This window comes from Homo sapiens, chromosome 12 (genome assembly GCF_000001405.40).
Source record: "Homo sapiens chromosome 12, GRCh38.p14 Primary Assembly".
Lineage (NCBI taxonomy): Eukaryota > Metazoa > Chordata > Mammalia > Primates > Hominidae > Homo > Homo sapiens.
The window spans coordinates 1,648,159-1,662,288 of NC_000012.12; the positions used below are offsets into that span (position 1 = coordinate 1,648,159).

General features: G+C 49.0%; 1 non-coding gene across 1 annotated transcript, besides 2 other annotated features; it reads right to left on the reverse strand.

Moving 5' to 3' along the window:
- Positions 1 to 12,156: 12,156 nt before the first annotated feature.
- On the reverse strand, positions 12,157 to 12,222 carry MIR3649 (microRNA 3649). Its single transcript, NR_037422.1, has one exon. It is a non-coding gene; the product is annotated as a microRNA 3649 (primary transcript).
- Positions 13,716 to 13,815: a silencer, noted in NCBI's record as "silent region_4118". NCBI's record gives its function as "represses an Ori minimal core promoter by ATAC-STARR-seq in GM12878 lymphoblastoid cells {active_cell/tissue: GM12878}" and the evidence as "EXISTENCE:reporter gene assay evidence [ECO:0000049][PMID:35858748]".
- Positions 13,906 to 13,995: a silencer, noted in NCBI's record as "silent region_4119". NCBI's record gives its function as "represses an Ori minimal core promoter by ATAC-STARR-seq in GM12878 lymphoblastoid cells {active_cell/tissue: GM12878}" and the evidence as "EXISTENCE:reporter gene assay evidence [ECO:0000049][PMID:35858748]".

Genomic DNA, 14,130 nt, shown 5'->3' on the forward strand with positions numbered 1-14,130 from the left:
GATCGCTGGAGGTCAGGAGTTCAAGACCAGCCTTGCCTACATGGCGAAACCCCATCTCTACTAAAAATACAAAAATTAGCTAGGCATGGTGGTGCATACTTGTAATCCCAGCTACTTGGGGGCTGAGGCAGGAGAATTGTTTGAACCTGAGAGACAGAAGTTGCAGTGAGCCAAGATCATGCCACTGCACTCCAGCCTGGGCAACATAGTGAGACCCTGTCTCGAAAGAAAAAAAAATGATTGAAGTGAATTGGTCTACAAAAGATGAAAACCATGTCCTCGTCTTCATTCATTGACATTTAACCATCTTAACCACCTTTAACCATAACTATCCAGATGCACAGATCAACCATGATAATAGGGTTTTGAAACACTGGCTAACATCACTGTTCTTCCCCACATCAGTTCTAGAGGTTTGGGGAATTACTTTGTATCAGGTGCTCAAACTGTTTAAGAGCTGAAATCTAACCTGTTCTTAGAAGCCCCCAGAAATGAGCTGAGAATGATTGTCCACAATCCCCAGAAGTCACTTCCGTGTTCATGGAGGGAGATGGATAATCCTTATCAGAGTAAGGTTTTCCTGCAGAGTCATGGCAAGTGGTAGAGTGAATCAGTTTTCTTTCTGATGTGGGAGCAAGTTGTGTTCAAACACCAGCGTGGTTGTTGCATCCACTGACCTATTTTTCTAAGTAGGTTGGCATACGGGTATAGTTACTTGTTACTTGCTTGTTGAATCCTGGTGGATTGGAATCCTGTCTGTGAAGTGACCAGTAACGCTGTAGGAATGTGGCTGGAGAATGTGGAAACCAACCTGAGAAAAGCAAGTGAGCTTCTGCTCAGAATCACAGAATGTTGGAGCAGGAAGGGAACATGGCAATCACAGCTTAAGCTTCTGGGGCTCCAGATAAGAACCTCCAGATCCTGAGCAGGTCCCACACCTTAGTGTGCTTGTAAAAATGCAGAGTGCTGGGTCCCCAGCACCAGGAATTCATATTCAGCTGGTCTGGGGCAGAGCCTGGGACCTGAAGGGATCCGATGCTGTTAGCTCAAAGACCACACTGGACTTGCGGTTACGGAGAGCTAAGACCTGCCGGGAGGCAGGAAGCCTGGTCCTGATTCCCAGCCCAGTGCTCTCTGCAGCCCCTGGCAGGGTTCCCTAGTACCTGAAATGTGTTATAATCAACATGTAGTCTCACCAGATCATTACATTGGTGTAATGCCTCGACCAAGCAGTCCCAGCCATCCCAGGGAACCTTGCTGATGCGTTGGAAAGAGCTTTCTGGTACAGGGCAGAACTGATTTGCCCTGGGATGTTCCCTCCCTCCTCTGCCTACGATGGGTAGAGACCTACTGATCTATTTCCTGAATGTCTATCATAAGGCGATATGTTCTTAGCTATTTGTCTTTGCCTTATCTTCAAAAATTAAGAGAAAGGTATGCCTGACTGCCTCCATTTAATAAGAAGACAGATGGACAGCTAGAGGATGGGAGGATAGGAAGGCAGTCACAGGTATGGTTGAGGTTAGGGCAGGCTTCCATTCATCCAAGCATCATGGACAAATTCTCCAGAACTTGGATTCAAAGTCCTTACTTGGAGAGCCCATTTTGTTCTCTTCCACTCTCCATCCTTTGAGGTGAGAAACAAAACTTGCTCTTTGTATTGAAACCTCAAATTGGCTATTGCCTTGGAAATTCTGCCCTGCTTCCTCTCTTTAATCATTAGTATCGTATTTAAGCTCCGTCATCCCCTGCAGTTTTAGGAACTAGCAAGATGTCCTCCATGAGATAGAGATCTTACAGATGCAGTAGCTTATCAGACAAGCCTATTCCTTGGCAGAGAGCCACACCACCCCGAGAGTGTGGAAAATAGTGTTTCCATCTGAAACACTCTGCTCCATTGCCAGACACCACTGACACTGGGCAGGTGGATTTTGGGAGAACCTCTGTGTGTGTGTGTGTGTGTGTGTGTGTGTGTGTGTGTGTGTCTCTCTATGTGTGTGTCTGGAAATGAGTATTTTTCATTAATTTGGGGGTGGAGGTGGAGAGGCACCAGAGGCATGGAGTATGTAAAAAATTAAAAACAACTCAACACTTCTGGCTGAGACGTTGCAGAGCCTGGGTTGTCTATCTTTATTGGAAATGTTTGTCCTCTGCCTGGCTGGTGATGACAGGCTTCATATCTCTAGAAGGAATGTTGGGGAGCTGAGAAGGGCTGTGAGCCATGGTTGCTAAGTGTTACTGTTAGTTCTTTATTATGTAAGAATCTCTGCATTGTGTTTATACTAAAACAGTAAGTAAAGGGTGGGTGCTTTAATTCTGGTTTTACATAAGAAGTATGGGAGCTTGCCCATTTTTCTCTGAAGTAAGAAGATTTGGGCCCAGCAGTGAGGATCAGACGTCAGGCAGTGTGGAAGACTGAAGCCATCCACAGTTAATTTTCTAGCTTGTTGCAGAGTTTGGGCATTCCTCACGTAGATTCTCCAGTCCTTGCTTCCTCCCTCTTGCTGCAGGCCTTTTGGTCTTCATGCTGCTCATTTGCAGCCCTACCAGAAGCAGCAGTAGAAGACAGAGCTGAATCAGTTAATTTAGGCCTTCTAAGTCGTTGTGATAAACAACTGGGTGGGAGGAGGGATGGTTCCAATGAGATTTTAAGAATTACAGATGTATGTGTATTATCTGCTGCTCCACAGGAGAACTGAAAATAGACTGAAAGCTGCTCACAGCCAAAGCCAGAAGGAAACTGCAGTATTGACAGAGAGAGAGAAAGAGAGAGAAAGAAACAGACTCAAATCACTCGGGGCAAGAGAGGGTTTGCTGGTGTGGAAACCGGGTGGTGGGGAGGCTTTCAGCAGAATATCAGGAGGGGACTTCAGCAGGGACCCAAGGAAAGACGTGAAAGAACAGACACTATAGAAAAGGTGAACCCTTTTGATCCAATCTCACTGTAAAGCCAAAAGGAGTGAGTACTGTTTGAAGTGACCCTGGCCTCATTCCATATTGGTGCTCTGCCTGTTGGGTCAGCCAGCTCTTCGGCTGGTCCCTGATTTGGAAGTTACGTCTTTCGTATATTTATTTCCAGAGACTTCTTAGCAGCAGTTACGTTTCATAAGGGAAGTTTTGATACCTCTTTTGTTCCCTGCTATGTCTGCCATCACCCACAACAGTGCCTAGCACAAAGAAAGCACTCAATAGATATTTGCTGAGTGAATGAATGAATGATGTTTCTTCATGAACAGACAAGGAAACTGAGGCATAATGTGATTAACTGCGTGGTCCATCATATCATTTGTTCTATCAAAATTGCAAGTAATAGAAACCAATTTGAGTCAGATTATGAAGAAGGAGTATGACATGAGGGTCCCAAGAGTCTCAAAGACGCCAGGGTCTTCAGGAGCTGACCTGGACACCTCTGGATCCCTCTCCCTTCCTCCTCTCTCCTCTGAGGTCTCTCTCTCTCTCTCTCTCTCTCTCTCTCTCTCTCTCACAGTTCCAGCCCCAGGAAGGGACTCTGAATCTCTCCTGGTCCTTGTCCCAGATTCCCAGGAGGGGCTTCTGGTCAGGGCTCTGTCCACCATTGCATGACTTTGCAGCAGTTCAAGTCAATGAGTGGAGGGGCTGAAGAACTCATCAAGGTGAGAGGAACTGCTCACGTTCTCATAAATTTCTCGGCGGATGGTTAGATCCAGAGAACACATAATCCAGTTGGTGTGAATGAGACCCCTAAGTATTTACTCTGGAAATTCTCATGATAGCTTTACTGAGGAGTCTTTTATCTGTGAAAATGCATAATTATGGAACAAGTCCTGAGGATTGTCTAAAATAAGGAAAAACCTGAGCCCACTAGTGTGAAGAGGAAGGCTTCTGTTCTCTGAATAACCCAGGATAGGACACACACCCATTCATCTACCTTGCAGGGTTCAGGCAGCCAAGTTGCTAAGAAGCAGAGAATAGACTAGAGTCAGTGACAGCCCCTGGCTGGTATTCTGCCCTGCAGGTGCATTCATTTTTCAATACTGAGCTGTATTTGAAGGCCAGTCATCCCTGTGGATGATTTAAAGGTATCTTCCCTCTGACAGGACCACTCTACAGTATCAATTGCTTCCTTCATACATTTTCCTCATTCTTCAAGGTCTGAGCATGCCAAAAAGTAAGACCTGAGAGGGGTAAGGGTTGCCAGGATGTTTCTGCAAATCTTCCACGGCTCTTGGGGGCACCCAGCAGGCATTTGAAAACTGACTTACAGCCGGGTGTGGTGGCTCACGCCTGTAACCCCAGCACTTTGGGAGGCCAAGGCAGGCGGATCACCTGAGGTCAGGAGTTCGAGACCAGCCTGGCCAACATGGTGAAACCCCGTCTCTACTAAAAAATACAAAAATTAGCCGGGCGTGGTGGTGGGTGCCTGTAATCCCAGCTACTTGGGAGGTTGAGGCAAGGAGAATCGCTTGAACCCGGGAGGCGGAGGTGGCAGTGAGCTGAGATGGCACCATTGCACCTCCAGCAGCCTGGGCAAATACAGCGAAACTCTGTCTCAAAAAGAAGAAAGAAAGAAAGAAAGAAAACTGACTTACGCCCTGTGGCTGGCCTTCTTTTGTCCTTTTTGTTTTGACAGCAAAAGCCATATAGACCTTGAATGCTATGACAGGCAGGACACGTCTGTGAAATAGGAAATAATTACACTCACGCTTTTTAGGTGCTATGTTTCCTTCCTCATTTTATTTTCTAACATGCAAGTAAACTTTTTAATGGACCTAACGTCTCATCTGACAGATATCACGGCCTTAGGTCGGAGCAAATGATCAGCCTGGAACCCACTCCAGACTGGTCTGCAGTTCTGCATGTGACCACACAGTGTCGCTATCTTCTCAGTTCTAGCCGAATAGCTCTGGCCCGCACCTTGGTTCAAAAAAACATTTTTTTTTTTTTTTTTTTGGCTGGGCGCGGTGGCTCACACCTGTAATCCCAGCACTTTGGGAGGCCGAAGCGGGGGGGGGGGGGGATCACTTGAGGTCAGGAGTTCGAGACCAGCCTGGCCAACAAGGTGAAACCCTATCTCTATTAAAAATACAAAAAAATTAGGCAGGTGTGGTAGCCTGCACCCCCGTAATCCCAGCTACTGAGTAGGCTGAGGCAGGAGAATCGCTTGAACTGGGAGGGAGAGGTTGTGGTAAGTGGAGACCATGCCACTGCACTCCAGCCTGGGCGACAGAGCAAGGCTCTGTCTCAAAAAAAAATTGTAAATTTAAAAAAAAGTTGGGTGGTGTGTCCTTGCGGATTGATGGCAGAAAACAGAATCTGGAGAGCAGCAAAGCTGAGTTCTAGATTTTTCATTTGGATAAATGTGGGAAGAATTAGGTCAGTCTTATTTTACTTAGTTTTAAAAGAATGAGTGAGGAGGGCAATGCAGTTAGGAAAGAAAACATGAAAGGAATGCCTTGTCCTGCTCGGCTGGACCCTCAAGACACCCACAGTACTTTTCATGCTTGAAGATTATGATGAAGGAGGTGAGTAATAATTATAGCTACCATTTATTGAGTACTACTGTGTACCAGCTGCTTTACATACATTACATGTAATCCTCTCAGGGCCTCTGCAGTGTAGCCAATATTATCCACGTGTTTCAGATGGGAAAGCTAACACTCAGAGTGGTGAAGCGGCATCCCTCACCTCACACAGCTAGTAATTCATGCTGACTCCAGACCTCTTTCAGGTGGATTTCTGGGTAAGGAATCTGGTCAGCTGAAATAACAGGTGCCCATTTCCTTCTAAGTCTCAGGGAGTGTACAATAATCTTCCTCGTCTTGCCACCATGAATGTTGAATGAGAAGAGTGACTAGAGAGATTTCATTTGGTAGGGGCATATGGCAGGGGGAACTTGGGGATCCCAAATCTAAAGTAAACAGGCAAGGTGCGGTGGCTCATGCCTGCAATCCCAAGATTTTGGGGGTGCTGAGGCAGGGGGATCACTTGAGACCAGGAGTTTGAACCAGCCTGAGCAACACAGTGAGACCCTGTTTCCACAAAAAAAAAAAAAAAAAAAAAAAAAAGGCTGAATGCAGTGGCTTATGCCTGTAATCCCAGCCCTTTGGGAGGCTGAAGTAGACGGATTGCATGAGTCTAGGAGTTCGAGACCAGCCTGGGCAACATAGTGAGACCCTGTCTCTATTAAAAAAACACAAAAAATTAGCTGGGCATGGTGGTGCCTGCCTGTAGTCCCAGCTACTCAGGAGGCAAAAGTGGGAGGATCACCTGAGCACAAGAGTTCGAGGCTGCAGTGAGCCATGATCACGCCACTGCATTCCTTCCAGCCTGGGTAACAGTGAGACCCTGTATAAAAAAAAAACCAGGCATGGTGGCACATACCTGTAGTCCCAGCTACTGGCCGGGGGTGAGGTGGGAGGATTGCTTGAGCCTAGGAGTTCAAGGCTATAGTGAACCATCATCGTGCCACTGCACTCCAGCCTGGGGTTACAGTGAGACCCTGTCTCAAAAAAAAAAAAAAAAAAAAAAGGAAACAGATAATGCATACAGGGCTAAACAGCATAGAAAATGCTACAAAAGTTGAAGATAGTATATTGATGTACATATTGAAGCAAAGAGAAAACTGGGGCCTTGGACGATGGAACTAGATGAGTAAGTCACATTCGGTAGGGAATTTAGAGCTGGTGCCTGGGGGCTTCATTTTACAAGACAGCCATGGGTATTCTCTACCACATGCTTCCCTCGAATTTACTCAGAGGGAAGCCCTCTCTCCACTGGCTTTCCCAGGCGTTAGGAGTCAATGGTTTTGAATAAGAGTGAAGATTAAAATTCAGCAGAGCTCCAAGCATGTCTGATCTTGAGCGGACAGGACCATGGACTAAGCTTCTGAACTCCCTTTTCCAATCTGCTCTTCCGGCCTCTTGATCTCTGTGCCAGGACTCAACTCCATCACAAATGCATAATTCCTATCACAAGGAGACAACCGTAAATATATTTGAATTAAGTGACATGTTTTCAGCTTCTCAAAGGCCCCATCCCTAAACTCAGTGTGGCCCTGGCCCTGTGACATGCTGGCGATGCAGTCCCACCAGGCACAGCACTGAAACTGCATGTCGTGCTGGAACAGGGGACTCTACCAGAGGCTCTGCTGGGACAGAAGGTAGGAAGCAGAAGCAGGTATTGGGATTCCATAGGAGAATGCAGTGCTCGCTTCCTGGTGTACCCACCGAGGAGGCAAGGGAAGGAGCAGTGACTCCTGTCTTTCTGTGACTCAGCTCCCGCCTGGGGCTTCTGGGTTCAGAGCAGGGGAGTGGAGGGATGTGGGTCTTAGATGAGAGAGGTGGAATGAGCAGCTCTTGGGACTCCTCATGGCCCCACAGTCTCTACCTGCTCAGAGAAAAATGAGCCCAGGTGATGGGAGGAGGTGTTCATATGTTATGGGAGAGGGAGGGTGACTGGGTGTGGCGCAGAGCTTGGGCTGCACCTGGCTACCTCGGTCTGAGGAGTCTCAAGTGCTACCTAATGTGTGGCAGTGGGGACAGAGGTGGGTTTTTTCCCCTTTTGTGGTGCTGGTAAGGAGGGAGCTCATGCATTCTAGGCACTGGTTCCATCCCTTCATCTGGCTAAATCAAATCATCTGGGGAGATTTAAAAATTCAGAGTCTGCCAGCCACCGTGACTCACGCCTAGAATTCTAGCACTTTGGGAGGCTGAGGCAGGAGAATCATTTGAGTTCAGGGGTTTGAGGCCAGCCTGGGCAACATAGTAAGACCTTGTCTCTATTGAAAAAACATCAGATTCCTAGGGCCCAGGCCTTGAGATTCTGATTGAGTCAATTTGGGGTGGGGTCTGGGATTGACTCTGTGTTTTAAAAAGATGCCTTGGGTGATTCTGCTTAGCAGCTATAATAGGGGATTGTTGATATGTGATTACATTTGACTACACCAAGCCTTCCATGCAGTGGCATGGCCATTTGCAGACAGAGCTGGGTTTAGAGGAAATGTAGCCAGGGCCTCAGGCTGTTAGAGGTCTAAGGATGGGGATTCAGAGTAAAGCATCAGTATCTACCCACTCAACATTGGACCTGGAGTGAGTGTGGTGGCACACACTTGTAGTCCTAGCTACTCTGGTGGCTGAGGTGAGAGAGAGGATTGCTTTGGGGTTGTGGTGTGATACGATCGTGCCTGTGAATAACTACTGCATTCTGCACTCCAGCCTGGACAATATAGTGAGACTCCATTTCTTTTTCTTTTGAGACAGAGTCTCTCTCCATTGGCAGTGGTGCGATCTTGGCTCACTGCAACATCTGCCTTCTTGGTTCAAGCAATTCTCCTGCCTCAGCCTCCCGAGTAGCTGGGATTACAGACACGCGCCACCACACCCAGCTAATTTTTTTGTGTTTTTAGTAGAGATGGGGTTTCACCATATTGGCCAGGCTGCTCGCAAACTGCTGACCTCGTGATCAGCCCACCTTGGCCTCCCAAAGTGCTGGGATTGCAGGCGTGAGCCACCGCGCCTGGCCCGAGACTCTATTTCTTAAAAAAAAAAAAAAAAAAAAAAAAAGATTGGACCTGGGAAAAGGAAGGAATGGAGGAATGGTAAACTATCCTGGATTAGCATCTTGCAAAAGACTAAAATCAGAGTCCATCCTTAAATCCTCCCACATGATAAAATGTGTGAACTTAATTTCCCGGATCTGTTTCTAACCTCCGGTGTGGTCAGTTGGACCAGCATTAGACAGTCAGATGAGGAAGGGAATGTTCTGTGAGGCAAACCCAAGCCCTAAGCTTGGTCTGCATCTGTGACCTGGTTCTGCAACTTTGGAGAGATGCACAAGAGGCTACGTGCATCCAAACAGCCTCGCAATCAGACCGCACGAGATCATGCAGCTCACAAATCTGGACAGACCTGAAAGATCGTATCTCGAACGAAGCCACTGAATGTCGCTGGCTCCCATGCAGGCCCGAGCAGGGAACAGCCGGCAACCACACAGTTGCACACAGGCTGCTGGCTGTGCCCTAGGACCGGCCCGGAATCCAGCTGGGGCTTCTCCTTCTCTCTTGAGAAAGTCCCCAGGGGCTGTCTTCAGCAGTCCTGAACTTGGGAACCTGGGCTGCATGCTGAATTAAGAACTCACAGTGAAAACTCTGCTAATCTGTAAAGTCAATTTGACTCTTTGATGGGCAGAGAAATTTGGCTTGCTTTATTTATTTCTTTATTTTCAGACAGAGTCTCACTGTCACCCAGGCTGGAGTGCAGTAGCTCAATCATAGCTCACTGGAGATTTGACCTCTTGGGCTCAAGAGATCCTCCCATCTCAGCCTCCTCAATAGCTAGGACTACAGGTGCACGCCAGCATGCCCAGATAATTTTGTTCATTTTTTTGTAGAGACAGGGTCTCACTCTATTGCCCAGGCTGGTCTTGAATTCCTGAACTCAAGTATTCCTCCTGCCTCAGCCTCCCAAGTAGCTCAGACCACCAGTGTGCCCTACCATGACCAGCTATTTTTTTTTTTTTTTAATTTTTTGTAGAGACTGGGGTCTCACTGTGTTGTCTAGGCTGGCCTCAAACTCCTGGGCTCAAGCAATCTTCCTGCCTTGGCAGCCCAAAGTCCTGGGATTACAGGCATAAACCACCATGCCAGGTGCCAGGTCAGAGATGTGGTTTTTTCAATCCCAGGGTCAAGAAACCAGAATTGCAGCCCTGGCTCTGCTGTCAAATTGTTCAAAAGCCTCTGAGGAAGAAGGATCAGGCTTCCAGGCTTTATTTGCTCCTCAGTTCCCGGTGCCAGCTCAGGGTTTTTGCAAAGTTTAGCTGCCATAGGAAGTGAGAAATTGCTCTGGAAAATGTATATGTTCCCATTTTTGCCTTTGTTATTATTTCAGTTCTGCTGTGGACTGTTGTGAACTGACCCAGTAACCACAGGCTAGTTCTTTGTCTTCCAAGCCCCTTATTGCTTGTTTCCAACAAAGTAGTCAAAAACACTTTCTCTGCTAAACAAACTTTTTTTCTTTTTTGTAACAAAAAAGACCAAAGATAGAAATACAGCATGGCTTTCTTTTTTCCTTTTTTTTTTTCTTTTTTTTTTGAGATACAGTCTTGCTCGTTGCCCAGGCTGGAGTGCAGTTGTGAGATCTCGGCTCACTGCAACCTCCACCTCCTGGGCTCAAGCGATTCTCCTGCCTCGGCCTCCCTAGTAGCTGGGACTACAGGCGCATGCCACCACGCCTGGCTAATTTTTGTATTTTTAGTAGAGATGGGGTTTTGCCACGTTGGCCAGGCTGGTCTCAAACTCCTGACCTTAGGTGATCCGCCCGCCTTGGCCTCCCAAATTGTTGGGACTATAGGCATGAGCCACCGCGCCCAGCCTTACAGCATGGATTTCTAAACAGAGTGGCTATTTGTTGCTGGGACAGGTAACTGAGAGGATAGATTTCATTCCCCAGAGAAGTTTAAGAAAAGAAGAGCATTTAGATGTTTTTAGAATTTAGTAGAGTCTAGAGCCAGGGAGAAAACCAGACATTCTCTGGAGATTCATTTCAGCTAGAGGGTTCTGTGTGTCCCATCTCCCTTTCAGGGATTAATCAGCCTCTAAAAACAGCAAGGGCACAAGATTCAGTACAGAGGACCTGGCTTCCCAACCAACTAGTTAAGTGATTCAGGCAGTTTCCTCAGCAATAAAACAGAAATAATACTCTCTCTACCTCAAATTAAATCATATGGATGTGAAAGCCTTTTGTAAAATATAAACTTTTAAAATATTGAGGCTGGGCATGGTGGCTCATGCCTGTAATCCCAGCACTTTGGGAGGCTGAGGTAGCAGGATTACTTGGGCCCAGAAGTTTGAGGTTGCAGTGAGCTAGGATCGAGCCACTGTACTCCAGACTGGGTGACAGAGCAAGACCCTGTATTAAAAAAGAAAAGGGTAATGGTATATCTTACATAGATATAGATAAGTGTATAAGATATAGCTTGCTTATATCATGGCAAGATCAATGAAAATATGCTTTTTAAAAAAGTAAAGTTTATTATGTAAGCTCTTGGGAATCATCTCAACTGAAGCCAACCACAAATGCAAGGGGTCTAACCTTGATGATCTGGATTTGTTTGGTCTTTTGTATACCCAGAAATCCACCATCCTTCTCTATGTTGGTCTTGGTCTTTCCTGAGAAGGCCAGTACCTGAAAAGTGAGCATTCCACCTTCCACCCCGCCATCACATGGGAGTCTTTTTTTTTTTTTTTTAAATCCCCAGTCTGTTTACCACTTTGTCCTAAGAATCAAAGACTTAGGAAACTTTTTTTTTTTTTTTTTTTTGAGACAGGGTCTCACTCTGTCACCCAGGCTGGAGTGCAGTGGCGTGATCTCAGCTCACGGCAACCTCTGCCTCCCAGGCTCAAGCGATTTTCCTGCCTCAGCTTCCTGAGTAGCTGGAATTACAGGCACGCGCCACCACACCCGGCTAATTTTTGTATTTTTTTTTAGTAGAGACGAGGTTTCACCATGCTGGCCAGGCTGGTCCTTATCTCCTGACCTCAAGTGATCCACCAGCCTCGGCCTCCCAAAGTGCTGGGATTACAGGCGTGAGCCACTGCTCCCGGCCAAGGAAACTTCAAGAAGGCAAAGGCAAGGAGGCCCACCCCTGGGCCCTCAGAGGACATGGACAGGGAGCGGACTCTGAAAGGAGCTCTGGGAATGGACTCTGCCCCCTCTAGCCCCCAGGGCCTGGCCGCCTACACCCAGCTGCTTCTCCTCACTGGCCTCTGCCCCAGGACATGGCAGCCACATCAGGGACGTGGAGCTGGGAAGCGTCCCCCCTTCTCACAGAAGGTCTGTGACAGTGGAGAAGATTCCCAGGATCTCAGGCTAGAAGTTGGAAGGCATTTTCTGAGGGCCACATGATTCCACCAGCTGGAGTTTTCTGTTCCCATTGTACAGTCCTTGATTTCTGGGACACAAGATGTTCTTTTAGGCTTTCCTGAATAACAAAGATCACACATACACTTGTTTATCTGGGGAGATGCCTTCCCGTTCTAAACAACTGACTTACAAATTCTCTTTCTGAGAACAATGCCCATTCATAAGTTGGGAACATTCTGTATGAGTGACTTCTGGCTGGGAAGGCACAGTTCTCAGGAGGGGGAGGAGTTCTCAGGAGACCCCTGTAAAGTGGGCCTGTGCTTAGACACTCAGGTCCCTGTGTTTGCTAGAAACACTTGGGCACACACAGGTGCCTGTTCCAAGCCTTCCTCCCAAGGAACACACCTGCGCATGTGAGTCACATGTCCCGCCAACGTGCCACCTAACCTTCACCCTGAGCTGGGGAGTATTGAGTAACTGTGTCGTCAGCAAAGTCACCCCACTGCTTGGGTAACACCTTCAGATAGTATCCAGGCCAAAACATGTTAAGAAAAAAAATTCACTCACAGCCAGAACACTTATTCCTGTTTATCTTTTAACAATGCAAGGGTAGGGAAATTGTTTGGAAATCAAAACGTGGAAGTTCGTTCATCCTCCCAACTCGTGGAGTTCTAAGGCAGAGACTGGCTAAGCTTTTGTGGGACCTAAAAGTTATATAATCAGGGTGGGGCAGTTTAAATAATTACAAATACGGAATTATGAACAGGGCCTTAGAAGGCGAGGGAGAGGCCCTGAAACTTGAGCTTCATTCACTTAATGGAAAATCTAACTCTGATTCTAGGGGAAGAATCTAGAAGATTCCATGAAAATACAATGTTATAGAGCTTTAAATGACTTTCCCTAAAATACTTTTAATACTTCTTGCCTTAGTGGATCCTGGCTTTTCTTTGACAGTGTCATTCAGTTGAAAACCCTCTGGGTAAAGGCTCTTCGCCTCCTGGCAGCCCCATGCGGGCGGGAGGTGCTGCTCTCAGGGTCTTCACACCCCACTGTTGCAGCCCTCCGCCCACCCGTCTCTCCAGCCGGACCATCCTCTCTGCATTTTGGTCCCTGTCCTCCGCCCACCCGTCTCTCCAGCCGGACCATCCTCTCTGCATTTTGGTCCCTGTCCTCCGCCCACCCGTCTCTCCAGCCGGACCATCCTCTCTGCATTTTGGTCCCTGTCCTCCGCCCACCCGTCTCTCCAGCCGGACCATCCTCTCTGCATTTTGGTCCCTGTCCTCCGCCCACCCGTCTCTCCAGCCGGACCATCCTCTCTGCATTTTGGTCCCTGTCCTCCGCCCACCCGTCTCTCCAGCCGGACCATCCTCTCTGCATTTTGGTCCCTGTCCTCCGCCCACCCGTCTCTCCAGCCGGACCATCCTCTCTGCATTTTGGTCCCTGTCCTCCGCCCACCCGTCTCTCCAGCCGGACCATCCTCTCTGCATTTTGGTCCCTGTCCTCCGCCCACCCTGGGGCCCTTCTGCAAAGCACTGAGGTTCGGGGCGCATGGACGTCTTCCTCCCAGCCCCTCATCCGCCAGCGAGCTGAGCCGCGCCCGGGCCCCTGTCACCGCGCCACCGCTCCTTCGGGACCTGAAGCCTCCGTGCTCAGCGATCCCCCTGCAGCCCACTGCGACCCCCACCCTTGCTGCGCCCTCCGCCTCAGCACGGCCCTCCCGGAGCTATGTGCCCTCCCTGACTTCCTCTTCGCCCCTCCCCTGCCTGGCTCTCCCACTGCCAGTCACCCCAACCCCGCCCCAGCAGCAGCCTCGAGTTCCCTCTCCCCTCGAAGGCCTCGCGGCGGACTCGGAGCGGGGCAGGGAGGAGGCGGGAGGCGGCGGGGGGCGGGGGGCGGGGGGAGGCGGGAGGCGGCGGGAGGCGGGGGGCGGGGCCGCAGCTCCGCCCTCGGGAAATGGCTCCGCCTCCCTCGCCGGGAGCTGCCTTCAGGGGCCGTATGCAGCGACTCCCCACCCCGCGGGCCATGCCAGCGGACGGGCACCTCCGCGGGCGCAGAGCGAGTCACACGTGCATCCTCTCGCCCTTCCCCCGCTGCACCGCCCGCTGTCCAGCCCTCTCCTGTTTTCTCCCACTGCAGAGCTGGCTAAAGAACACTGCAGACTTGGGCCAATTTGCCCCTGCCCAGATTCCTGATTCCCGGCCTCGCGGCCCCACCGCTGTCTTCCTCTCCCCTCCCGGACTTCCTGTCGCCCCCAGCCCCAGCCCTCTGTGGCCGCGGCCTGCTCTGCCTGAGC